Source organism: Homo sapiens, chromosome 4 (assembly GCF_000001405.40).
Source record: "Homo sapiens chromosome 4, GRCh38.p14 Primary Assembly".
NCBI classification, from domain to species: Eukaryota; Metazoa; Chordata; class Mammalia; order Primates; family Hominidae; genus Homo; species Homo sapiens.
Genome location: NC_000004.12, coordinates 137,707,070 through 137,734,957, shown reverse-complemented (window position 1 = coordinate 137,734,957; position 27,888 = coordinate 137,707,070). Strand labels below are relative to the sequence as shown.

The following is a 27,888-nucleotide window of genomic DNA, read 5'->3' as shown; positions in this document are numbered from 1 at the left end:
TCTCACCGACTTCAAGAATGAAGCCGTGGATCCTCGTGGTGAGTGTTACAGCTCTTAAGGTGACGCACCTGGAGTTTGTTCCTTCTGATGTTCAGATGTGTTTGGAGTTTCTTCCTTCTGGTGGGTTCGTGGTCTCGTTGGCTCAGGAGTGAAGTTGCAGACCTTGGCGGTGAGTGTTAGAGCTCTTAAGGTAGTGCATCTGGAGTTGTTCATTCCTCCCGGTGGGCTTGTGGGCTCTCTAGCTTCAGGAGTGAAGCTGCAGATCTTCGCAGTGAGTGTTACAGCTCATGAAAGCAGTGTGGAGTCAAAGAGTGAGCAGTAGCAAGATTTATTGCAAAGAGCGAAAGAACAAAGCTTCCACAGGGTGGAAGGGGACCCAAGCGGGTTGCCACTGCTGGCTCCGGCAGCCTGCTTTTATTCTCTTATCTGGCCCCACCCATGTCCTGCTGATTGGTAGAGCCGCGTGGTCTGTTTTGACAGGGCGCTGATTGGTGCGTTTACAATCCCTGAGCTAGACACAAAGGTTCTCCACATCCCCACCAGATTAGTTAGATACAGAGTATGGACACAAAGGTTCTCCAAGGCCCCACCAGAGTAGCTAGATACAGAGTGTCGATTGGTGCACTCACAAACCCTGAGCTAGACACAGGGTGCTGATTGGTGGGTTTACAAACCTTGAGCTAGATATAGAGTGCCGATTGGTGTATTTACAATCCCTGAGCTAGACATAAAGGTTCTCCACGTCCCCACCAGACTCAGGAGCCCAGCTGGCTTCACCTAGTGGATCCCGCACTGGGGCCGCAGGTGGAGCTGCCTGCCAGTCCTGTGCCGTGCACCGGCACTTCTCAGCCCTCGGGTGGTCAATGGGACTCGGTGCCGTGGAGCAGGGGGTGGCACTGGTTGGGGAGGCTCCCGCCGCATAGGAGCCCATGGAGGGGGTGGGAGGCTTAGGCATGGCGGGCTGCAGGTCCGGAGCCCTGCCCCACGGGAAGGCAGCTAAGGCCCGGTGAGAAATCGAGCGCAGCGCCGGCGGGCTGGCACTGCTGGGAGACCCAGTACACCCTCCGCAGCCGCTGGCCCGGATGCTAAGCCCCTTATTGCCCAGGGCCTGCAGGGCGGACCAGCTGCTTCGAGTGCGGGGCCGCCAAGCTCACGCCCACCCAGAACTCCAGCTGGCCGGCAAGCGCCGCGCGCAGCCCTGGCTCCCGCTGGCGCCTCTCCCTTCACACCTTCCTGCAAGCTAAGGGAGTGGGCTCCGGCCTTGGCCAGCCCAGAAAGGGGCTCCCACTGTGCATCGGCGGGCTGAAGGGCTCCTCAAGTGCCGCCAAAGTGGGAGCCCAGGCAGAGGAGGCGCCGAGAGCGAGCGAGGGCTGTGAGGACTGCCAGCAGCTCTCATAATGTTCACCTCCCTGTGTCCATGTGTTCTCATTGTTCAACTCCCACTTATGAGTGAGAACATGCGATGTTTGGTTTTCTGTTCCTGTGTTAGTTTGCTGAGGATGATGGTTTCCAAAAAATACGGAAGGCTTCACGAATTTTCTTTCTTATCTTACTCAAGCCTGCCGCTCCCTCTAGGAGTCCCTTAAGGGTGCAGCATTCCTGAGCTTAGGGAGCCCCCTAGTGCTGATATGGATGCAATGACCACGGGCTTAGATCACAGCACTCAACCCCTTCTAAACACATGGAAAGCCTTTTCAAGGACCAGTACAAACAAGCCCAGACTCTCAAGATCAAAATAAATACCTATCTCTTCAATGCCTAGACCTTGACAAATGTCCACAAGCATTAAGAATATGAAAGGAGGCCGGGCGCGGTGGCTCACGCCTGTAATCCCAGCACTTTGGGAGGCCGAGACGGGCGGATCACGAGGTCAGGAGATGGAGACCATCCTGGCTAACACGGTGAAACCCCATCTCTACTAAAAATACAAAAAAAATTAGCCGGGCGTGGTGGCGGGCACCTGTAGTCCCAGCTACTCGCGAGGCTGAGGCAGGAGAATGGCGTGAACCCAGGAGGCGGAGCTTGCAGTGAGCCGAGATCACGCCACTGCACTCCAGCCTGGGCGACAGAGTGAGATTCCGTTTCAAAAAACAAAACAAAAAAGAATTTGAAAGGAAACATGACATCTCCAAATAAAAGCACCAGTGACCAATCTTAGAGTGTTAGAGATATGTGACCTTTCAGACAGAGAATTCAAAATAGCTGTCTATAGGAAGGTCAGTGAACTTGAAAATAACACAGAGAATTTAGAATTCTATCAGAGAAACACAACAAAAAGACTGGAATAATAATTTTTAAAAATCAAGCAGAAATTCTGGAACTAAAAATTCAATTGACAAACTGAAAAATACATCAGTCTCCTAAAAGCAGAATTGACTAAGCATAAAGAAATAGCAAACTTGAAGACAGGCTATATGAAAATACACAGACAGAAAAGAAAAAAAAATAAAGACACACAACTACAAGATCTAGAAAAAAAGCCTCAAAGGGGAAAATCTAAGAGTGATTGGCTTTATAGAAATTGGAGAGAGTGAGAGAGAGATCAAAGTAGAAAATTTATTCAAAGAAATAATAACAGAGAACTTTCCAAGCCTAGAGAGAGAGATGAATATTTGTGTCCTGTAAGTTTATAGAACATCAAGCAGGTTCAACCGAGATAAAACCACCTCAAGCCATAAAATAATAAAACCGTCAAAGGTCAAGGATAAAGAATGGACACTAAAAGCTTTAAAAGAAAATAAGGAAATGCCATATAGAAGAGCTCCCATATGTCTGGTAGTAGTCTTATCAGTGGAAACTTTACAGGTGAAGAGAGAGTGGGATGACATATTAAGAGTGCAGGGGAAATAAAATCCAACCTAGAACATTATGTCCAGCAAAATGATCCTTAAAACATGAAGGAGAAATAGGCTTTCCCAGACAAATAAAAGCTGAGGGATTTCAACACCAGACCTGTCTTATAAAAAATGCTAAAGGGAGTTCTTCAATCAGAAAGAAAATGATGCTAATTAACAAAAAGAAATCATCTGAATATAGAAATCTCCCTGGTAGTAGTAAGTATACAAAAAAGACAGACTATCCTAACACTGTAATTGTGGTGTGTAAACAAACCACTTATATCTTTAGTAAAAAAAGTAAATAAATAAAAGGCAAACCTATCAAAAATAATAATTACAACTTTTTAAGATATAGAGAGTATGAAAAGATACATATAGAAACGATCAAACGTCAAAAAGAAGGGTGAATGGAATTAAAGAGTAGACTTTTTTTAGTGTTCTCTTTGCTTCTTTGCTTGTTTTCCTTTCTTTATAATCAGAGTTAAGTTATCATCTGTTTGAAGTAATTTGTTATAATATATTTTTTGCAAGCCTCATGGCAACCACAAAACAAAAACCTGTAACAGATACACAATACACAGAAAGGAAGAAATTAAAACATACTCTCACAGAAAATCACTTCTATAAAAAGGAAGACAGGAAGGAAGGAAAGAAAGGAGGCAAGAAGGAAGGAAAGAAGAAATAAAGGAAGCAAGAAAAAGGACGGAAGACAACGAGAAACAATGAAACAACCAGAAAACAAATAAAATGACAGTAATAAATTTTATCTATCAATAATGGCATTGAATGTAAATGGACTAAATTCTCAAACCAGAAGATGTAAAGTGGCCAAATGAATAAAAAAACAAGACTTGCCTATATGCTGTTTACAAGAAATTTATTTCATCTTTATAGGTTAAAACAAAAGAAGACTAAAAGTAGAAGGATGGAAAAAGATGTTTTATGAAAATAGAAACCAAAAAAGAGCAGGCATAGCTATACTTATATCAAATAAAATAGATTCCAAGATAAAAATTGTAAAAAGAGACAGGGTCATTATGGAATGATAAAGCAATCAATTCAGTGAGAGGGTATAATAATTGTAAATATATATGCACTCAACACGTTAGCACTCAAATATATAAAGGAAATATTATTACACCTAAAGAGAGAAATAGACCCCAATATAATCATGGCTAGGAACTTCAACACCTCACTTTCAGCATTGGGCAGATCATCCAGACAGAAAATCAACAAAAAATCTGACTCTATCTGCAGTATGGACGAAATGAACCTCATAAATATTTACAGAGCATTTTATCCAATGGCTGCAGAATACACATTCTTCTTCTCAGCACATGGAATATTCTTAATTATAGACCATGTTAGGTCCAAAAATGTGTCTTAAATAATTCAGATAATTAAAATTATACTGAGTATCTTTTCTAACCACAATGGAGCAAAACTAAAAATCAATAACAAGAAAAGCTTTGGAAATTATACAAACACATGGAAATTAAACAATACGGATTTCAGGAGGCTGAGGAGGCTGAGGCATGAGAATCATTTGAGCCTGGGAGGCAGAGGTTGCTTTGAGCTGAGATCGTGCCATTACAATCCAGCCTGGATGATGGGAGTGAAACCCTGTTCCCTATCCCATTTAAAAAAAAAAAAAAAAAGAGAGAGACAGAAGAAGAGGAAGAAAACTAAAGACTTCCTGAAAGGAGTGAAAATGTAAACACAACATGTCAAACCTATGGGATACAGCAAAAGCACTGTTAAGAGGGAATTTTATAGCACTAACTGCCTATATCAATAAAGTTGAAAAAGTTCAAATAAACAACCTAATAATATATCTCAATGAACTAGAAAAGCAAACCAACCAAAAATAGAGAATAAAAAGTAATAATAAAGATCAGAGCAGAAGTAATTGTGAATGAGGCTTAAAAACTCAAAATGTAAATGAAATAAAATGTTGAGTTTTTGAAAAAAATAAACAAAATGAACAAAGCTTTAGCCAGATCAAAATAGATAGGCCACTCAGATCAATAAAATCCGAGATGAAAAAAAGCCATTATAATTAACACCTCAGAAATTCAAAAGATTATTAGAGACTATTATAATCAACATTTTGCAAATAAGTTGGAAAACTTAGAAGAAATAGAAAAACTCGACACATACAACCTACCAAGATTGTAATGAGATAGAAGCAGTAATTAAATGCCTCCCATCAAAGAAACACCCAGGAACTGATTACTTTACTGCTGAATTTGATGAAACATTTAAGAAAGAACTAATACTAATCTTACTCAAACTATTCCAAAAATACAGGAGAGAATATATCCAAACTAATTCTGAGGTCAGTATTACCTTGATACCAAAACCAGTAGAAGACACAGCTTAAAAGAAAAATACAGGACAGTATCTCTGATGAAAACAGATGCAAAAATCCTCAACAAAATACTAGCAAACCAAATTTAACAACACTAAAAAGATCATTTGTGATCAAGTGGGATTCATTTCAGGAACACAAGGATGGTTCAACACACACCCATCAATAAATGGGATACATCATATCAACAAAATGAAAGACAAAAACTGTATGATCATTTCAATTGGTGCCAAAAAGTATTTGATAGAATTCAATATCTCTTCATGACAAAAATTCTCAAAGGACTGAGTGTAGAAGAAACATACCTCAACACAATAAAAGCCAAATATGACCAACCCACAGCTGAATGGGAAAAATAGGAAAACATTTCCTCTAAGATCTGGAACAAGACAAAGAAGCCCACTTTCACTGCTTTTATTCAACTTAGTGCTGGAAGTCCTAGCCAGAGCAATTTGACAAGAGAGTAGAATAAAGGGCATCCAGGTTGGAAGGGAAGAAATCAAATTATCCTTGTTTGCAGGCAATATGTTCTCATATTTATAAAAACCTTAAGATTCCACAAAAAAACCATTAGAACTGATAAGTGAATTCAGTAGGATTTCAGGTTACAAAATCAACATACAAAAATCAGTAGCATTTTTATATGCCAATAGCAAACAATCTAAAAAGGGAACCAAGAAAGTAATCTCATTTACAATGGCTACAAATAAAATTAATACCTAAGAGTAAATTTAACCAAAGTGAATCTGAAAGATCTCTACCATAAAAACTATAAAACAGTGATGAAAAAAATTGAAGAGGGCACACAAAAAAATGGAAAGGTATTCCATTGGAATTCCAGGTATTCCATATTCTGGGTTGGGAGAATCAACATTGTTAAGATGTCAATATTACCCAATGCAATCTACACATTGATTTCAATCCCTGTCAAAATACTGGTGACATTCTTCATAGAAATATAAAAAACAATCCTAAAATTTATATGGAACTACAAAGACCAAGAGTAGCCAAAGACATACTGTGCAAAAGGAACAAAACTGGAAGCATGACATAACCTTATTATAAATTATAGTACAAAAGCTATAGTAACCAAAACAGTATGCTCCTGGCCTAAACACAGACACATAGGCCAATGGAACAGAATAGAGAACCCAGAAATAAATTCATGCATTGCAGAGGTGTCTAATCTTTCAGCTTCCCCAGGCCACATTGGAAGAAGAAGAATTGCCTTGGGCTGCACACATAAAATACACTAACATTAATGATAGCTGATTAGCTAAAAAAAAAAAAAAAATCTCATAATGTTTTAAGAAAGTTTATGAATTTGTGTTGGGCTGCATTCAAAGCTGTCCTGGGCCACATGTAGCTCTCAGGCCACAGGTTGGACAAGATTGATTTATAATCAGCTCATTTTCAACAAAGCTGCCAAGAACATACACTGGGAAAAGAACAATGTCTTCAGTAAATGATGCTGGGAAAACTGGATACCCATATGCAGAAGAATGAAACTAGATTCCTATCTCTCCCTGTGTATGAAAATCAAATCAAAATTGATTAAAAATTTAAGACTGAAAACTATAAAATTACCAGTAGAAAATTTTGGGGAAACAATCCAGGACTTTGATCTGGGCAAATATTTCCTGAGTAAGACCCCAAAAGCACAGGCAGCCAAAGCAAAAATGGACAAATGGGATCACATTATGTGGAAATGCTTCTGTACAGCAAAGGAAGCAATTAATAAAGTGAGGCGACAACCTCCAGAATGGGAGAAAATATTTGCAAATTACTTATCTGACAAGGGATTAATAACTAGAATATATAAAGCACACAAACAACTAAATAGGAAAAAAACCAAATAATTCAATTTAAAAACGAATAAAAGATCTAAATAGACATTTATCAAAAGAAGATATACAAATAGCCAACAGGTATTTAAAAAAATTCTCAACATCACTAATCATCATAGGAACAAATCAAAACGACAAAGAGATATCTCATTCCAACTAAAATGGCTTTTGTCAAAAAGATAATAATGAATGCTAGCAAGGATATGGAGACAGACTCCTACATTGTTGGTAGAAATGTAAATTAGTACAACCACCATGGAGAACAGTATAGATATTCCCCAAAAAACTTAAAATAGAACTAACATATTATCCATTAATCCCATCACTGGGTATATATCCAAAAGAAAGGAAACAGAATGTCAAAGAGATATCTGCACTCTTATGTTTATTGCAGCACTATTCACAATAGCCAAGATATGAAAGCAACCTAAGTGTTCATCAATAGATAAAGAAAATGTGGTACATACATACAATGGAATATTATTCAGCCATAAAAAATGAAACCTTGTCTTTTGCAACACCATGGATGAAACTGAAGGATATTATTTTAAGTAAAATAACCCAGAGACAGAAAGACAAATATTTTGTATTCTCCCTTATATGTGGGAGTTATATAAAAAAAAATGAGTTCTTGGAGACAGAGAGTAGAATGATGGTTACCAGAGTCTGGGAAGTGTAATAGGGAAGGGTGAGGGATAAGGAGTACAATGGGTACTCTTGTACTAATGGGTGCAAAATAGAGTTAGATAGAATGAATATCAAGTATTCAGTAGCACAATAGGGTAACTGTAATTAACAATAATTTATTGTATATTTTAAAATAACTAAAAGAGTAGAATTGGAATAGTCCTAAAACAAAGAAATGATAAAAGCTGGAGGTGATGGATACTCCAGTTACCCTGATTTGATCATTACACAATGTATGCCAGCATCATGCATATCCCCAATAAGTATATACAACTATTTTGTACTCATAATTAAATTTAAAAATTAAATAGAGATTTTTGTGAAATTATATATAGGAATTTAAAGTGCAAATAATTGTAATAAACAAAGGAACCTAGAATAAAATCCTATAAACCAACTTCTCTATGTCTGATATTTTACTTAATGTTAATAGTAGAACTGCAGGCCAGGTGCAGTGGCTCACGCCTGTAATCTCAGCATTTTGGAAGGCCGAGGCAGGTGGATCACCTGAGGTCGGGAGTTCGAGACCAGCCTGAAAAACATGGAGAAACCCCATCTCTAATAAAAATACAAAAAATTAGCCAGGCATGGTGGCACATGCCTGTAATCCCAGCTACTCGGGAGGCTGAGGCAAGAGAATCACTTGAACCCGGGAGGCAGAGGTTGCAGTGAGCCCAGACCGTGCCATTGCTCTCCATCAAAACTCTGTCTCAAAAAAAAAAGTATAATTGCAAACCAGTAGGAAAACTGTAAGTTATTCAATTAATGTCCTATTAGTTATTCAAACTGTTTAGAATATTCCAGATGGATTCACAATTACCTTCAGTTCATTTAGAATTATCTGTATGGTTTAATATACATAAATATATATATATATTAAAGGACATATCCAAACATATTTGATCAGAGAAATATAATTTAGAAAGAGAGTTTTGCATGAAGGCTTTCTACGTAAATACAAAATGCAAAAATTTCAGAAAAGATAATTCATGTGGCTACATAAATAATTCTCTATTATATGTGCTATGATATTCAATGTTGAAAAGTCTTCTACAAATCAATTAACATTTTTTAAAAAGATAAACAGCTTACTCTCAGAGTAAAAAATGACACAAGCCACTACATTTGCTAAAGTATAACCTAACATAATTATTCAGGGAAATTTAAATAAAGCAACATTGAGATGCCAATTTTTTCTCACCCAGATATTAACAAATTAATCATAAGAAGTAAACATGCTTCTGCATTGCTAATATTATAAATTGTTATAACATTTTATAATACCAGCCACCCTTTTAGTGAACAATTTAGCAGTATGTAGTAAACTTAATTACACATGTTCAAATATGTTGACCTAGCAATTCCATTTCTAAACATCTACCCTACAAAATTTATGTTCTACGGAAATATACATAAAAATTTAATTATTGATAAATGTAAAAATAATTATAAGAAACTAGGTTTCCATCATCAGTATGGGGTTAAATAAATTATAGTGCATCTGTACAATTGCAGAAAGTCAAAAAACAAGGTAGATTTCTGTATATTGACACAGAATAAGTTTCAAAGTATTTTTGTAAGTAAGAAAACTAATGACAGAACAATATGTAAGATATAAGCTTATTTATGGTAAATAAACCAAAAGCAGAACTCTGTATGTCTATTATTTCATAACATGTTAGAAAACAATAAACATCAAAATTTTGTGATTGCCTATGATAATAGTAATATTTGAGAAACATTAAGGATAGTTGTACTGGAGAATTGAACATTTAACTGACTATACCTACCTATTTTTTAAGATAGAATGCATTTAAGTATTCCATACAATTTTTATAAATCAAAGATAGTAAAAAGTTTGATGAAAAACTGACAAAATTGTGAAAATCTACAATAAACTACATATATGCCAAGAAAAGAAAAGAGAACTTTCTAAATTTTAGAAAAAAATTTAGACATAACAAAACAACAAAAGGACATATTGATAGCTAAAACAAAATTAAAGTAATAATTTTCTATATCAAATAGTAAAGAAAAAATTAAAAAGCAAACAATAAACTAAGTATACTTGGGCCAAATGCATTATAAAAAGGTAACATTATTTAAAATGAAGAATTTGTACACAGGAATAATAAAATATTAGGAATCCAACTGGTAAGTACACAAGAATAAGGAGATTATAGGAGAATTGTTAGTGGCAATAACAGTTAGACAGTAATTGCAACAATTACAGTTGGTCAAATGAAAAAGAAAAAAGCACATTTAAAGAATGGAATATATTTCAGAGAGAGAGAAAGGGAGGCCTGGGCTCATTCACTCTGCCACAAATATCACCTGGAAAATCTGTGTCAAATAAACAAGCTGAATTTATTCATATTGTTGCCTGGCAGGGGAAAGAAATACTGAGAACAGAGTTTCAAATAACATCTCATAAAGGAGAGTTTACAAAGCTTTGTTTTGTTTTGTATTTCATTGTTTTTCATAAGGATAAGAAATGGTTGAAACTTGAGTGATTTGGGGGGATGCATTTTGGAAGGAGGAGCAGGACCTAAGTAGTATTTGGGTGAAACAGGTCAGGCTGAAGTTACTTTCAATCTCCTGGGCTTTTCAAGCCAGGAAAGGATGATGCTATTGGACAGAATACGTGTGCTGAGATCTCTCTGGATTGTTGGGAGGTACCGTAGCAGACACTCTTGAAAGTCCACCCTAATAGTTAGTCCACTTGAGTTAACAGGATGCTGTGCACAGCCCCTCACACCCTCAAAGCTTCCCACATTAAGCATTTTCCTTTGTCTTTACTAGCTGAAGACTTTCTAGCTCACCAGGACAAATCTCACCCAATGGATGATGGGAAAGCCAGCCTCCAGCCTCCGGAGGCACAATTTGAAGCCGTTTTCCACACAGTTATTCAGTGTCTCGTGATATAGCTGAGATATATCAGAGCATATCTCAAGATATGCTTACTTAAGTATGAACATAGCCTCCTGACTATTCCAGGTTTTTATCCTACCTTGTATAGTTTCACAGGATCTATGTTTATTCTGTTAAATATATATGGTTATTTATTCCACCCTATTTTACCAAGGTAAGTTACTTCACTCTGGATCTCAATTTTTGCATTTTTAAAATGTAGATAAATATAATACCTAGAGCAGAGTATAATTGTAAGGGTTAAATTCATTGAGGTAAACTGCTTAGATGTGTCCAACTAATAGTAAAAATGATAATAGTCATTTTTGTTACTGTCATTATTATAATTATTATAGTTTTTATTACTCAAGTTTCTTGCATATATCCTGCCTCTAAGGAAATAATTCCCTACTTTTTCAACCAAAAATAACTTTCAGCCTTTCCTCACCATTTAGCACTTTAACAATTTGCTCAAAATGTTCTTTTAAAAATTTCCTTTAAATGAGATGCTTAATCCCAAACTAATTTTGGTTCTTCTCAATACATTTTTAAAAATGTAATATACAGAACAAAAATCTCCGAGCACATAATAAATGTATACCTTGATTAATTCTCTCAAAATGCACATAACTCTGAACCCAATACCCAGATCAAGAAACAGAATACAGCTAATACCCCAGGGCCCCTCTTGTGCCATCTTCTATAACAACCTCCACCAAGGGCATCCACTCTTCCAACTTTCTAAAAGAAAGATTGGTTTTGCCTATTTTAAGCTTTTATGTTAATTAAACCACTGCTATCTAAGTCATTTTTTTGTATCTGGCTTCTCTCATTCAATATTTTATTGGGGAGATTTACCCATATCATTAGGGCTTTCTGAAGCTATTGTTATCTTATACCTCAAATGGGTTAGAAGCTCCTTGATAGTTAGGATTGAGACTTTTACTTGGATCCCTTCATATACTCGATATACACCATACCTTGTCAGATGCTCAGAAAATCTTTTTGGAATAAATATTTTGACTCCTTGCTTCTCATAATCCCTCTGAAAGATTTTTCAAAACCTTCCTGTATCACTACACTTATCTATTCTTCATGGTTTCCTTCTGTAAACTACCATTGCCTACCTTCCCCAGATCCCCTTACTTCTTTACAAATATTTTTATGTGATGATGCATATTTTAAACAGAGATTTATAAAGGAAGGAATGAGTAAATATTCAAAACTCCTACTAAACAGTGACAAAGAATGTAACTACTGGTATCATGTTCTCCTTCAGTTCTCTATTAATTGTATCTTCACCATAGATATTTTTATAATTTACACAGATTAACGCTCAGGTATCATTAAATCACCTTTTATCTCATCTCTCTTTCCCATTACTGGCACAAATCTGTAGATCATGTTCTTTCTTATCTGTAACATTCATCTTCTTTAATGGAAATTTCTAGCTGGTCGACTAAGGGATACAGGGAAATTGGTATCTGAACAAAAAAAGGCTATTCCTTATAGATAATGTTACTTTCCTTTTTAGGACAACTTTTAAAAAGTTCACTCCAATTTTGGTTTATGAACTTGATATATTTTTAAATATGTTTCTTTTTCTGCACATTGTGCACATGTACCCTAGAACTTGAAGTATAATTAAAAAAATTAAATACGTTTTAAATCTGTTGCTTGTTAAAATGCTTTAAAAAAAAGTCCCTACTGAACATAAAAAGGAAAATCAGAGAGACCCAATGATGGGGGGAAAAAAATACAGCAAACAGACTACAGTTCCTTTTTTTTTTTAAGATGAAAATTAAAACCATGTGGCTGAGGGACAATTATGTCTTTTCATTTCTTTTTGCTCAAATATAGAGATGTTTGAAGTAAATGAATGACATTTTAGTTTACTGTGAACCTGACAAATGCTATAACAGACTACCCACAAGTCTGTTATAGCACAGATGAAGTTAGTTCAAAAGGACAGAGGGGAAAAGCACCATTAAGATTTCATAACTCTGCTACGACATTCCAAACACCTGGTGAACTTGCATATTTAAGGAAAGGTAGGGAGAACTTCTAAAAAGGAAACTGAAAAACCTGATTATGCACAGGTGTAGCAACTGTACTATAAAAAATGTGATTTTTAAAGTGCATAAAGAACTTAGAGATTAAGTCTTCATTATTTAAATCATTTGGAAATCCTAGAAGCTCAAAAAGTTACTCAGGTAGTCGAGGAAAAAAAATTCTCTGAATTGATCTTTACTGATTCTTTTAGGGCTACCTTGAAAATAACATGCATCTTGAGTGTTAGGATCACAAAGTAGAAAATGTTTTTCCTTTTGCTATAAAATCTAGACAAGAAAATTTTCTTAAGGAGAATATTATATACATAATAGCTTCTTATCAATAAGCCATATCAAAGACTGCACACATGTCAATGATTATTTTATTAGTGAGAAAAGAATCAACGTTTTTTATTTTGTTCATTTTGTTTTGCTCATACCTAGATATATTCTACAATAATTCACAATGTTGGCATTAGTTACCTTCTGAGAGTTATCCATAAGAACAAAACTTTTTCACATTTACATTGGACCTGAAAGTAAAGATAATTATTTTTCATTTCTACTGTAGTTACACTTTTTAATCTATATGAGGGTAACTGATACCTGTGTTCCTTGAGAAGGCTTTGAAATGCACATAGATTTGAACTTCAGGTAGCTGGAGTTCTTAACAATTTATTTTCTCTTGAAATCAATTTCTCAAAAACAAGGAAAATATCTTCTCTTTAAATATTGACTGCTTGTTTAAATGTCAAATATAGTGAACTTTCTATCTGTCAAGACCTTTGTGGTCAAATGCTTGCCAAAATTTACTCTGGTTCCAATTTATTCATTTTCGGTAATTTTCTGTTTCTTATTTCTACTATCTTTATGTTTTTGAAACCCTTAGGAGAGGATTTTTCTAGACAGAGAAAGCAACTTAAAAAAAATCACCACTAAACAGTTTGAATACATATTTGAAGATTCTAACAAGAATACAAAAGGCAGATATAACTTGTTACTGAAAATTTCTCTATAGCATAGAGATTATTTTTAAGTGGGAGTCATTACACCTGAACTAATTCATTTTAAAATGTCAATAAATGGTACAATAAATGTGTGTTAGGCAGCTTACTCTTGGTGACTGTGTCTCTCACCCTCCAAAAAGAGTCACAGACCATTTGATTTTGAAAAGGAGGGATGTTCTCATGCAACGCTGGGTTATGCCTATGATTCTGCATTGTGACTTGCTAAAATGAAGCAGTGAAACTTTTGTTCTACATAGTTTTAATTTTATTATAAGAATAAGAAAATAATCACTGATTAAACACTTGAACTTAGAGCTCAAATCTGGCATTAAGACTCACTCAATTTCACAATGATGCGTGTGTTTTGCTATGAATTACAATAATATCTCACATATAATATTCCTGGGTTACTCTAATTTAAGTGAAGGTTTCTCTCGTTTAAATTAATAAGTACATTGTTGAATGCATCCACGTACATGGTGACAGTCATGAAGACAGGCCAGCTGTTCTTCTGCTTTTTCAAGATGATCAGATCTTTGCTAAGATTTGTGTAACCTGGGTTGTCTGAGTGTGGTTGATTATGGAAGTGAAGATTCAAATAATCTTGAATGTATTAGCAGAAATCCAATAGGCACCAAATAGAAATATCCACCCTTATAAAATCATTATCTTATTTTTGCTATTATTGTATTTACTTTGTCAGGTAGTATGGTTGTTATGGTTAAGTGTGTTCCAACCAAATCGCTTTGTGAATGTTTTTGTTACTATAAAGTCTCAGGATACACATTTTTTTTTTCAAATTGGCATGCAAAATACCTATCTCACAAGCGTTTTGTGAGGATTTAATATAAACAACTTATACAGTAGCTTCTTGTCCTGTTTTATTATAGCTTTTAAAAAATCTCTGGAGTCATTTTGAGAACAAATTTTACACCAGTAAATCATGCTGGAAGAAGAGGGTCATCAAGTATTATTTTGTATCTTCATAATGCCAAGCATTTTTTTGTGTTATAGATATTTAATAAGCATTTATACAGGTAAATAATAGAACAAAAATTGCCTGATATCTTGTATTAGTTCATTCTTTTATTGCTATAAAGAACTACTTCAGACTGGGTAATTTATAAAGGAGAGAGGTTTAGTTGGCTCACGGTTCCACAGGCTGCATAGGAAGCATGACTGGGGAGGCTTTAGGAAACTTACAATCATGACAGAAGGTATGCATGTCTAGGGGAAGCAGGCACATTTTACATGGCCTAAGAAGGAGGAAAAGAGAGAGGGGTGAGGTGCTATACACTGTTAAACAACCAGATCTCAAGAGCACTCACTCACTATAATGAGAACAGCAAGTGGGAAATCCACTCCCATGATCCAATCACCTCCCACCAGGCCCCTCCTTCAACACTGGGGATTATAATTCGACATGAGATTTGGGTGAGGACACAAATCCAAACCATATCATATCTACTAGATTCTAGTGCTACAATTAGACATTTTATATTGTCTAAAGAAGAGTTTATGTTAGCATGAATCTAGTCATAATATTAGGATCCAAGGAAATAGTTGCTAATATTCTTTAAAAATCTACTTTTTATTAAAAGAACTAAACAACCACTGTGTCACCATTGATAAATTGCTCTTTTCAGAATACATGTTTGAAAAGTAACTAAAAGTTATTATTTTGCCATTAGTTTAAAGATTCAAACACTTACATTTGCAAAAGTTGTAATTGCTGAATTCATATAGACAAAATCTGTCTAGAAGTCTTTTGAAAAATATGGCAGCCATGAATATTTGTCAAATAAAGGTTTGATCAATTATTTAAAGTATTTTGACATATTTTTGGTACTCAAATCATACTATTTTGAAAACTCTAACAGCAACATATACGTGGTTGTGATAAATTATGTTAAGTATGAGTTTTTCTTGAATGTGTTAATGGAGAAGTGAGACATTTGTGAACAGAGTTCTCATGGTTAAATTGTTAGAAAACAGTTTAAAAATTACTCTTAGTGTAATATGAATAGAACTGCTGGTGCTCTAATGTTCTAGATATACATATATGTAGGAAATAGAACACAGAAAACATTTTCAAAGTCTCTAAGTGAATTATGCCTTAGCCATAGAAATGTCAAGTATCTCACTGAGAACTGGTGATGTTTACAAAATCCCTTTTTTGTTGTTGAGCCCTGAATTTCAGGTGTTGTCTGTCTAGGAGTATGCAATTATTAAAAAAAAAAAAAAAAGATCAACGACAACTCTATTTAGCTTCTTTAGCCTCTTAGTAAGTGATTTCTTCTTGCTTTTATGCTCTTGTCCTCCACATACACAGCGTTTGGCCAATGCCTAGAGAGATATTTGCATGCAGAAAGTTAGACTCATTTCTCTTTGATTTCTTTTTTCCCAGGGATACTGATCCCTCAAGTTCTTTCCTTCCTGGATGCCTTTGTTGTTTTCCAATGCCCTCACTTAAAAAAAAAAAAAAAAAAAGCTAGCTTTCATAGCTAATCTCAGCTGGAGGTTTAGTTTGATACAAGCTAATCTAAATTGCCTGCAGCAATCAACTGGAGATACAATTTTTAAAATGTTAAATATACAGATTTTGCATATCAGGGCAGAGCAGCTAAAAATGAACTTCCTAGTCACATTTTGATACATTAAGGCCAATAGATAGTTAAGAGTAGTCATCATAGCTATTGTTCTAGACTCTAGAAAAAAATACTTTAATTTTGTCTTTGGTTACCCAAGTTTTCTTATAAGGTGAACCTTTTTAAGTTTTTAACACTCCAGATATTTTAGGAAAGGTCCTGATACTTGAAGAAAAAATCTACCTTTACCTCTGCTGTGGACTGAGTTGTAGACTCCCCAAAATTTATATGTGAAGCCTAATACAGTTTGGATATTTGTCCCTACCCAAATCTCATGTTGAATTATAATCTCCAGTGCTGGAGGTGAGGCCTGGTGGTAGGTGTCTGGATGACAGAGGCAGATCCTTCATTGCTGGGTGCCATCTTTGTGACAGTGAGTTCTCATAAGATCTAGTCATTTAAAAGTGTGGGGCACTTCCCACTACCCGCTGGACTCTTTCTCTTGCTCCTACTCCTTCCATGTAAGGTGCCTGCTTCTCCTTCAACTTCTGGCATGATTGTAAGCTTCCTGAGGCCTCCCCAGAAGCTGAGCGGATGCTAGCACCATGCTTCCTGTAAAATCTGCGGAATTGTGATCCAATTAAACCTCTTTGGTTTATAAATTACCCAGTCTCAGATATTTCTTTATAGCAACTCAAGAATGGCCTAACACAAAGCCTAACCTCCAATATGATGGTATTTGGTGATGAAGCCTTTGTGAAGTTTAGGGTTAGCTGAAGTTATGAGGGTAGGGCACTCATGGAGAAAGTCATGGCTTTATTTGAAGAGAAAGAGAGAAATCCTGCTCTGTCACGTGAGCCAAAAGGTAGGCCTCTGAAAGCCAGGAAGCGAGCCTTCAACAGGAAGACCCTAGTAGGCCAGCACCTTAATCTTGGACTACCCGGGCTCCAGAATTGTGAGAATAAACATCTGTTGTGTAAGCCATCCAGTATACAGTGCTTCAGTTTTACTCTCTTGAGAGCATGTTCCTTCAGTAGACTTTTATAGTCACTCTTCTTCTTGTAAGTTGAGATTCTTTATAAAGGAACACACTCATACCAATGTTCTGGAACCTAGGACATCATTCATTACCTTCAATTTTATAAAAACATCCTTTTTTTTCTTTAAATATCTAGCTTTTTATATAGATATTTTATACAAATATCTTTGTATAAAATATTGGCATCAGCCTCTAATTTTAATAATGTTTCTGTGGGAAAGAGTTTTTTTTACAATAATTTGTTTTATAAAGCAGATTTTTAAAGAAATATTGAAGTTAAATTAAGCTTTAAATATGTTTTGACCTACAAAAGTAATTTCAATCATATATTCCTATACAAAAATATATTATGTTCAAAATATATAACACAAACTATATAGATATATGTTGTATCTCATATAAACATACATGTACATAAACATAATACTCACATATATCATATATGTGTATATGTGTATTATCTACACACAAACAAAAAATTATAGTGTACTGTCAATTCTATCCATATTGCATATTCACCCCTACACAAAATTGTTTCACATTTTTTCCTAGAAACCTGTTAAAATCTTATTCCATAGAAGCCAGAGTGATACACAAACACTCCTGACAAGACCCGCTCCATTATTAAACACTGTTTTCCAGATCTACGCACATGTTGCTGCAGTGCTAGAGTGAAGTAATGTATCTATTAAGCACTTAGATGAAATTTCACTAATCCCTATATACTCAGATCAACCTACCCTCTAAATCTAGCTTTTTCTGAGCCCCTAAGTAGATGTGATCATGGCTTCCTTTACAGCTCTCTTAACACCCTTACCTAAGGCTCCCTTGTTTTAGACGTGTAACCATTTTATTTGGCTACTTGATTATAATTCCCAGAGCATTAGTTCCTAAGACAGCCACATTTGTCATGTATTCATCTTTTCATTTCCTATAGTAAGTAACACAATTGCTTGCACATTATAGGTGCACGGTATGAAATTAAACTTGGGTTTTGTTTTGGCAGTAAGCTAGAGAGTAATAAAATATTAATTTCAATAAAAAGTTAGTAGGAACTTATGACCTATTCTACTTGTTTGTCTTATCCTTCTCATTGGGCAGTTTAATGGCAAAAAATTATTTTCATACAACAAAATATAACTGAATTTATTATTAAAAACAAATTATTTCAGACAATGGTGGTATAAACTTTAAACTTGCAAACTAAAATAACTCTGAAAGCCACTGGTAAGCAACATTATTTTGTTCTATGGCACACAGCATTGCATTGTATAAAATATCACAAACTCCTACATATTTACCTGACAGCTGGGTTATGGTCACTGTGGGAACTATAATTTCAGATTCACAATATACATTTAACAGCTCAACATTTATACTGCTTTGAGGTAAGGTTTTCTACATAATTATCTTATATTTTTTGTTTCATTTAATGAAAATGGTTACACTTTTAAAACAAACTATGTTCTATACAGATGAGGATACATTTTTTCTGTGTATATTTTGGCCATTTGTTTTATAATGAATCTGGGCAGAATCCTCACTAATTGCATGAAGGTGTTCTGAGACCTTAGTTGACTTCCCATTTCCTATTGATTTGCCATCATCAAGAAAGTGACTTAGCTGCTCTTAGAAAACATACTGTCATTAAAATTAATGATGACGTTGCCCACTTTTAAAATAACAAGAAAATATATTTCAGGTTTTTAAAAATAGATAATTGTTAGAGAATTATGAATCCAGAGCCAGATTCAGACACAAAAAATTGGTGGTAGAATTTATTTAAAGATAAATATCCATTATTTATCATTTTCCTGCTTCCTGCCTCCTGTCCCTAGTCTCTCTAATTCCATACTCTTCTCATATACTTATTTCTCATCTAAGGTAAGAATGGTTAATTACTTTTTAAAACATTATTTTTGAAGGAACAACTTTATTTGCATAAAGGTCAACATTTTTAAACTAAATTTATTCATTAAAATAAGAGACAGATAGCTTCTATCTGTATGCTAAATTTGAGCAATTCTTTCTAAGTGCGAATTTGTATGTATTGAAGTCTATTACCTAAGTGTCTTTGAAATTCAGCATTCAACTTTTGTTTGTTTAGCAATTACTATGGGTAAGGCGTGGTGCTAGACCTCACAAAAGTAGAATTGAGTCAAGCAGACTAAAGTTTGCCCTCATTCGGTTTATAATCTGAGAACAGGGTAAGCAGGATAAATTAATCACATAACCAAAATTAACCAAGTGATCACAAACACACATACATACACTTCATGTGTGTATGTATTTGTACGTGATGACCAATGAGGGTGATATAGGATCATATAAGCAGAGGGCCTTACCTAATCTGTTGGGACAGGGAAGGTATCTGTGAGTGTGTCACCTAAAGTTGTAGAATTAGATGCTCACTTGTTAGCAGTGGAAGTTATTCAAGTTACTGGAGGCATATCCATATGGGTCTGCAGCAACCTCAGTTCTTGCCTCCTTAGAAGAAAGATTTTGACTGAGGGGCATAAGGCAGAAAAAGAGATCAAGGCAAGTTTTAGAGCAGGAGTGGAAATTTATTGAAAGGTTTTAGAGCAGGAATGGAAAGAAAGTAAAGTACGCTTGGAAGAAGGCCACGAGGGCATCTTGGAGGTCAAGTGCCCTGTTTGACCTTGGACTTCGGGTTTTACATGTTGGCCTACTTTTGGAATCTTGCATCCCTTCTCCCCGATTCTTCCCTTGGGATGGGTTGTTTGCATTTACAATGGCCTGCTAATGCTTGGGAGGGGAGCATGTGCAGTGTGTTTACTGGAGATGTATGCATGCTCACCTGAGGCGTTCTTCCCTTTCCCTGTGGAATGACCCTGAAAGGTCATATGCCAGTTAAAGTACACCATTTGACCTCTTAGTGCACATGTGTGAGCCCACTCACCCACCCCCTGAGATCACCAGTTTCTGGTTTTTTTCTATTTAATGGGAGACTGCCTTTCTCTGATGTTGGCTACAACCAATTACTATTTTAGAAAGGCAGTGTGACAACTTCCTGACCATTATCTGATGGTCACCTGACTTTCCTTGTGGGCTCTGGGGACCTTCTCCTGCCCTGTTCATGTCTGACTGGCTATCCACTGTAAAACACTAATATTGAACCCTAAGGCCAGTTTTAATCACAGAACATTGAAATCAAGTTAACAAGAAATACAAAAAAATAAGAAGTACAAAAATTAACTTGTCAATAAAAGGAGAAACTAAAGTCAAATTAAAGTAATATAAAGAATATTCTCAAAATCATTATTAGAGGCTCTTAATGTGGTATTATTATGATAAACAATATAATACTCTTACTTTAAAATTCTGATTTTTTTGTTTCATTTTATTTTATTTTTGTTGCTGTTTAAATACATTAAGCTTTGATTAGTCCACCAGATCTTCACTCATAACTTGCTGGAAAAAAATACTTTGAAATACTCAGAGACTAGACAGATCCCCTTGAGAAAGGCATATCACTTGAAAGCCTTCTTTATCGGGCAGAGAAAAGATAGTACTAAAGATTTTACAGTATTATTTAAATGTAAAATGTAAGAGTATGGTCTAGATATTTTCTAGAGTGTGCACCATAACAAGTTACACATTGTAGAATAATCAAATAAGCCTGTGAAGTTATATTGATGTTATACCCCATGTAAAAACCACCCTGGCCAGTCATAGTGGCTCACACCTGTAATCCCAGCACTTTGGGAGGCTGAGGTGGGGAGAACACCTGAGGTCAGGAGGTCTAGACCAGCCTGGCCAACATGCTGAAACCCTTTCTCTACTAAAAATACAAAAATTAGCCTGCAATTCCAGCTACTCAGGAGGCTGAGGCAGGAGAATCTCTTGAACCCAGGAGGTGGAGGTTGCAATGAGCTGAGATCACGCCACTGCACTCCAGCCTGGGCGACAGAACAAGATTCTGTCTCAAAAAAAAAAAAAAAATAATAATAAATAAATAATTAAAAAAAAAACCACCCTATTTGGTATTCACAATAAACAAATACTTATTGAAGTATCTAAATATATCAAACTCACTGGGAATTTCTGCAGTAAAGAAATCTTTTTATTTTTTTATTAAAAAAACAGATTGACAACTAACATAATAGTTGTCAAATACAACAAGTAGTTGTATTTGTTCCTTAATAAATATTTATATTCAGCATAATTATTTAATTGTTGTAACATAATTTTAACATGTTGACCTATTCTAATCACACCTGTTGACAGTTGAGAATTACATTGTTCTAGGAAGTTAAATAATTTTCCAAAATATGCATATTTAATGATAGTGACTATTGGCAACAAGATACCTTCACTCCCATATTTATATTCTGTCCCTTGTATCATTTTAATACATATTGTTAATATATTCTCCCTTGATGTATTCAGATACTAATTTTTAGTAGAATATTCATTTACTTTTGAGTTGAAGTAATAAGCCTATATCAATATACATTCATAACACATACCAATGAAGTAATTGCCATTCTTTTATATAAATAAGTTTGTATGTCACCACTACATGTAAGTATACATGAGCTAATCATTTGGATGTCTGATTCCTCATTTCATCTATTGAGGAAAAAGGGAAGTAAAATTAATCATTCTTTTCTCATTAAGGCAACATGACAAGCTCTGAAATGTTGATAATGGACTTTCATTGAATCACTGTCATTCTGGCCTTCTGAAAGCTTTTAAGACCCTGTAAACATATGTTGCAGTGCTACTGGTTCCCAAGGTGGTCATAAATGTGCATGCTATAAAAGAACAATCAGCCACACTCAAAAACATTTATTTTAATATAGCCCCTTAATAACAATACAAGGAATCTCTATAGAATTTCATTTTAGTGACCACTTCTTACTGTCATAACTGGGCAGGAACATTCAAAGGAGCAAAGGGGCAGAAATAATCAAAACAATGAATCTGAATATTCTACCAAGCAGGTTTTCAAACTAGTGATATATCTCATTAATATGGGCCCACATAAAAAATCAATGAAATTGATAGAAATAATTGCATGTGATATCTTCATAAAGAGATCTGCTGTGTTGTCATAGAATGGGGAAAAGCTAGGAAGAATTTAGTGAGCAGATGGAGAAAACAGCAACTGTTTTCTCACTTTTGGTGTTGGAAAATAGTTTACCAAAAAACAAAAACAAAAGCACACAGAAGAAAACTTCACACAAGCCTCACTTAAGAGCAGCAGTGAAATTAACGGTGATCTAAATATGGCTGTGGCCCCACCTTTCTCATTTTCTACCATACTAGTGTTTCTTTGGACTAATGCTTTTATCACCATCCCTTGAGCTCTGGTGGAACCACTGTCATCCTAATGCTGCAAATAAGCACATAATGGTCTCTGACATCAAGTCAATAATCAATGGACTTCTTATACCACAACAAGATTGATACCAAAAAACGTTTATTTATAAAATTCTAAATAATAATAATGTATATATTTTTTATTAAAATTACTATGACCTTCTTAATTGCCTTTCTTCTCCTCTTCATTTCATCTGAATCTTCTGTCAGGTTAAAATTTTTGTCATATTACCTCCTGAATTAAACTTACTACTGACTCCAGACCAGGATCAGCTGGGAATCTGAAGAAGTTCCTTAATTTTGGGACACGATAAGTGAGACACCCACAGTGGTCCGCATTCCTGCCCACAAACTCCTACAGTCCTAGTTATAAGAGAGCTTCTCAGCACTTGCAGGCTCTAAGACTAACATAGAGAGCTGCCTGGAGACCGTGCAATGGAATTGATCCAGAGACAGAGGTCATGCTGGTTTCTACAAACACCTTACTCTCGAGCAGCTGCAGCATGGTGCCATTTTGAGAGCCCAGCCTCCACAAGACTGTGTCCTGTCATGCAGATCAATAGCTTCTGCATCTCAATATCTCTGGAGCTTTAGTAACATTCCTTCCTCACAGCTGCTGCCATGAGGGCCACTGCAGGAACCATGAGCATTGACCCTGCACTGCTCAGCAGAGGGGCAGCCATGCATATGCAAATGCCCTGAGGACAAATGCACCTACCTGCAACTGCTGCCATAGTGGGCTGCTATGGAACTGAGGTGGAAGTGAAGCTCATGCCCCTGGCTGCCTGTATATGGCTGCTCCCATTGAAAGCAACCCCATCCTCCACTGTAGCAGAGTCACAATGCAATCACAGCAGCCCTCATATGAGCATTTTGCAGGTGGTCTGGGGATCGCCCTGCCCCTGCCTACCACAGCCAGTGATGGTATACATAACTGGGAGGCCAGAGGGTAGGTCTGACTGGCTCGGTGACACTCTCACCCCATTACCTGAGCACTCAGTTCAGGGGCCTGAGGATTGCCCAACCCAATAAACCACTGTTGGCACCTGAGCACTTCTTGTGAGATCTGAGGTCAGGCCCACTAAACATGTTGCTGCCACGAGAAGTGGCACCCATCCATGCCATCTGTGGGTCTGGGACTGGCCTACCAAGCCCACTGTAGCCAACACCAACACAAGCACAAAAGCTTGGGTCCCAGCAGATTGTCCCACCACTGCTATTGCTATCACCCATGTCACACCCACTGCCCAGGGGCTCAAGAACCTGCTCACCTACCTGGCCCATTGCTGCCATTCCCAGTACATGAAGAAGCCACCTGGATGCCCAAGAATCAGCCCCATTTTACCCACTAATACCCGTGCCAGCGTCTGCCACAGCTGTCCCTATTAAGGTCCAAAGCCTGGCCCATCTGGCATCCCAGTCCTCAGCAAAACTTCATAACACTTTCACTCACAACTGCACCCTAAGAAATCGAGGAAAGCACAAACACTACTGGCACTGTTTATAGCCAAAGAAATCATACAGAAACTACACTACTGCACACACACAAAATCAAAGCCAAAGAGCCCTACCCAACCAACACATACACAGATCTTAGGAAAAAAGTCCTCCCTGTGAAAGCAAATTCAAAAAATTCCCCCGTATTTCCAAAGAAGAACTACTACCAATTCTTCATAAGCTATTCTTAAAAAATTGAAGAGGAGGGAATTCTTCCTAACTCATATTACTAGGCAAGCAGTACCCTGATACCAAAACCAAACAAGGGCACAACAAAAAATAAAACTACAGGACAATATCTCTAATAAATATAAATGCAAATATTTTCAATGAAATACTAGTGAACCAAATTCAACAGCACATTAAAAAATATATGATCAAATATAGTTTATCCCACAAATGCAAGAATGATTCAACATATGCAAATCAATAAACATGATACATCATGTGAACAGAATGAACGACAAAAATCAAATTATCATCTCAATAGACACAGAAAAAGCAATTGATAAAGTTCAACATCTCATCATGATAAAAACTCTCAACAACCTACTTACAGAAAGAATGTATCTCATCATAATAAAGCCCATAATATGTGACAAAGCCATATACTGAATAGGAAAAAGATGAAAGCCTCCCCTAAGAACTGGAACAGGACAAAGATGCTTACTATCACCACTCCTATTTAACATGGTACTGGAAGTCCTAGCCACAGCAATCAAACAAAGGAAAGAAATAAAAGGCATATAATTTGGAAAATAAGAAATCAAATTGTACTTCTTTGCTGATGATGAGATAATACATGTAGAAAAACCTAAAGACTCTGCCAAAAAACACTTATATAAGATTAATAAATGCAGTAAAGATACAGGATAAAATATCAGCATGTAAAAATTGATAGCATTTCTATACACCAATAACAAAATAGCTGGGAAAGAAATCAAGAAGGCAATTCCATTTGCAATAGCTCCAAAAAAAAAAAACTGGAAATAAGTTTAACCAAAGAGGTGAAAGTTTTCCTCTACAAGGAAAACTACAAAACTCTGATGAAAGAAATGAAGGGGACACAAACAAATGGAAGGACATAACCGTGATCATGGATCACATGATTTAATAGCATTAAAATGACCATACTACCCAAAACAACAGCCAGATTCAATACGATTCTTATCAAAATATCAATGTCATTTTTCATAGAAACAGAAAAATAATCTTAAATTTTCATGGAACTACTAAAGAGCTTTCGTAGCCAAAGAAGTCCTGAGCAATAAGAACAAAGCTAAAGGCATCACACTACTTGAATTTATTTTAAAATCTATTATGAGGCCATAGTTAAAAAAAACTAAAATACAAACAAATAACCCAGCATGGTATTGCTATAAAAACAAACACAGAGAACAATGGAACAGAATAACAGAATAGAGAATCCAGAAATAAATCCACATATTTACAGCCAACTGATTTCTACAAATGTACCAAAAACACACATTGGGGAAAAATGCCCTCTTGAATAAATGGCACTGGGAAAATTGAATACCCATATGCAGAAGAATGAAACTGGACCCATATCACCACATACAAAAGTCAAATCAAGATGGAATAAAGACTGGAACATAAGACCCAAAGCTATAAAATTACTACAAGAAAACAAAGGGGAAATGCTTCTGGACATCAGTCTAGGCAAAGACTTAATTGCTAAGACATCAAAAACACAGACAACAAAAATAAAAATGGAGAAATAAGACTATATTAAACTAAAAAATCTCCTGCACAGCAATAATTGCAACAGGAAATAATTAAGAGTGAAGAGGCAAATTACCTGTTGAATAGGAGAAAATATTTGAAAACTATTCATCAAACAGGGGATTCATATGCAGAATATAAAAGGAACAACTCAAAAGTAAAAGAAAAAAACCACAAATAATCTCATTAAAAAGTGGGCAAAGGATATGAATAGATATTTTTAAGAGAAGACATACAAATGGTTAATAAGCATATGAAAAATGCTCAACATCACTAGTCATCAGAGAAATGCAAATCAGAACCACAATAGGGTACCATCTTAATCTCATTAGAACAGCTATTATTGAAAAGACAACAAACAAAATATGCTGGTAGTATGAATAGAAAAGAGAACTCTTATACACTGTTGGTGGGAATCTAAATTAGTATAGCTAATTTGAAAAAAAACAATATGGAGATTTTTCAAAACACTAAAAATAGAACTACTGTACAATCCAGCAATCTCACTACTGGCTATTTATCCAAAGGAAAAGAAATCGGTATATCAAAGTGATACCTGCATTCTCATATATACCCAGTGGAATACTATTTGTCCATAAAAATATTATAATTATGTCCTTTGCAGCAACATGGATGGAACCGGAGTTCATGTGAAGTGAAATAAGTCAGACACTGAAAGATGAATTTTGCATGTTTTCACTCATATGTGGGAGCTAAAAAAATTGATCTCATAGAGGTAGAGTGTAGAATAATAGTTATCATGGGCTGGGAAGGGTGTGTAGATGGGAGAGGGGATGAAGAGATGCGGTCAATAGGTACAAACGTACAGTAATTTAGAAGGCATAAATTCTAATGTTTGATGGCAGTGTAAGAAAATTAGAGTTTGCAACAATGTATTGTATATTTTAAAGTAGCTAGAAGAGAGAACTTGAAATGTTTCCAACATAGAAATAATAAATACCAAAGGTGATGGGTACCCCAAATACCCTGATTTGATTATTACACATTCTATGGAAGTAACAAATTATAGCATATACCCCATAAATATGTAAAATCTTATATATCAATTAAAAATTACCACAGACTCCCAGTTACTTTTGACACCAGACTCAAATTCTGCTTTGTTTTCAAGTCTCTTTATATCCATTCTGCGTGTTGTCAGTTTGTACCTTGCTTTGCTCCCTGACACATCCATTTGTATTGGTCTGGTGATTCATCTCACATTCTCCGCCCAAATTTGTACTTACTGCCCTTTGTTTCCTATGTTTATTTTATGCAGTTCCATCCATTCATTTAAGGAGAAAACAGTTTCTTCCCCCTTTACTCATTTAATCTTATGTATCCTTCCAGATTTTGCACCACTGAAAGTGCCTCTGATCTTTCTGACATTTATTCATCTTATCTTCTCCAATATTCTACAGCATCTTCACCCATCTCTATAAATCACTCTTTAAGAATATGCTGTTAACTTGGCTAATTATTTCATGTGTATTGTTTTTACCTCTTCAAGCCTAATTTACATACTTTTTAAGACTGATATATGTCATACATATCCTTTATTTTTGCAAACTTCCATTATATCTAGCACAATAATGACAAAATGATGTGTGCACAAAAATCCTTGTTGATTGATTGATTGAAATAATTGCATACTATCTTTTTTTGTTGTTGTCATTAGCTGACAGAATCAAGTTTTAAAGATCCAGTTAAATGCCTGGCTATCAACTTGCCAAGAGCTGATCCAGATGGAAGCCATCATCCTAAGAGTCAGACAACTCATTAACTCTAAAGGGACTGCCATGTATTAAAAATTCTCTTTATGGATTGTGATGAGTTGCATTGTTTGATTTATTCTTTTGTATTCAAACTATATTTATGGTGTATCTAGAAATAAAATTACCTTTAAGATATATTTAAAATTTTTCACACACTTTCCTAGAGTTGTCATCTTAATTTACTATTAAA

The 27,888-nt window shown here is 35.6% G+C and overlaps 1 long non-coding RNA gene across 1 annotated transcript, besides 2 other annotated features; it reads left to right on the top strand.

Annotated features, from left to right (window-relative positions):
* On the top strand, positions 1-27,753 carry LOC105377444 (uncharacterized). The gene is made up of 2 exons (XR_939236.1): positions 1-38; positions 27,602-27,753. It is a non-coding gene; the product is annotated as an uncharacterized LOC105377444 (long non-coding RNA).
* Positions 23,076-23,705: an enhancer, noted in NCBI's record as "OCT4-H3K27ac hESC enhancer chr4:138632407-138633036 (GRCh37/hg19 assembly coordinates)". NCBI's record gives its function as "activates a minimal SCP1, AML or CMV promoter by ChIP-STARR-seq in naive H9 embryonic stem cells {active_cell/tissue: H9 hESC(naive)}" and the evidence as "EXISTENCE:reporter gene assay evidence [ECO:0000049][PMID:30033119]".
* Positions 23,706-24,337: an enhancer, noted in NCBI's record as "H3K27ac hESC enhancer chr4:138631775-138632406 (GRCh37/hg19 assembly coordinates)". NCBI's record gives its function as "activates a minimal SCP1, AML or CMV promoter by ChIP-STARR-seq in naive H9 embryonic stem cells {active_cell/tissue: H9 hESC(naive)}" and the evidence as "EXISTENCE:reporter gene assay evidence [ECO:0000049][PMID:30033119]".
* Positions 27,754-27,888: the final 135 nt, after the last annotated feature.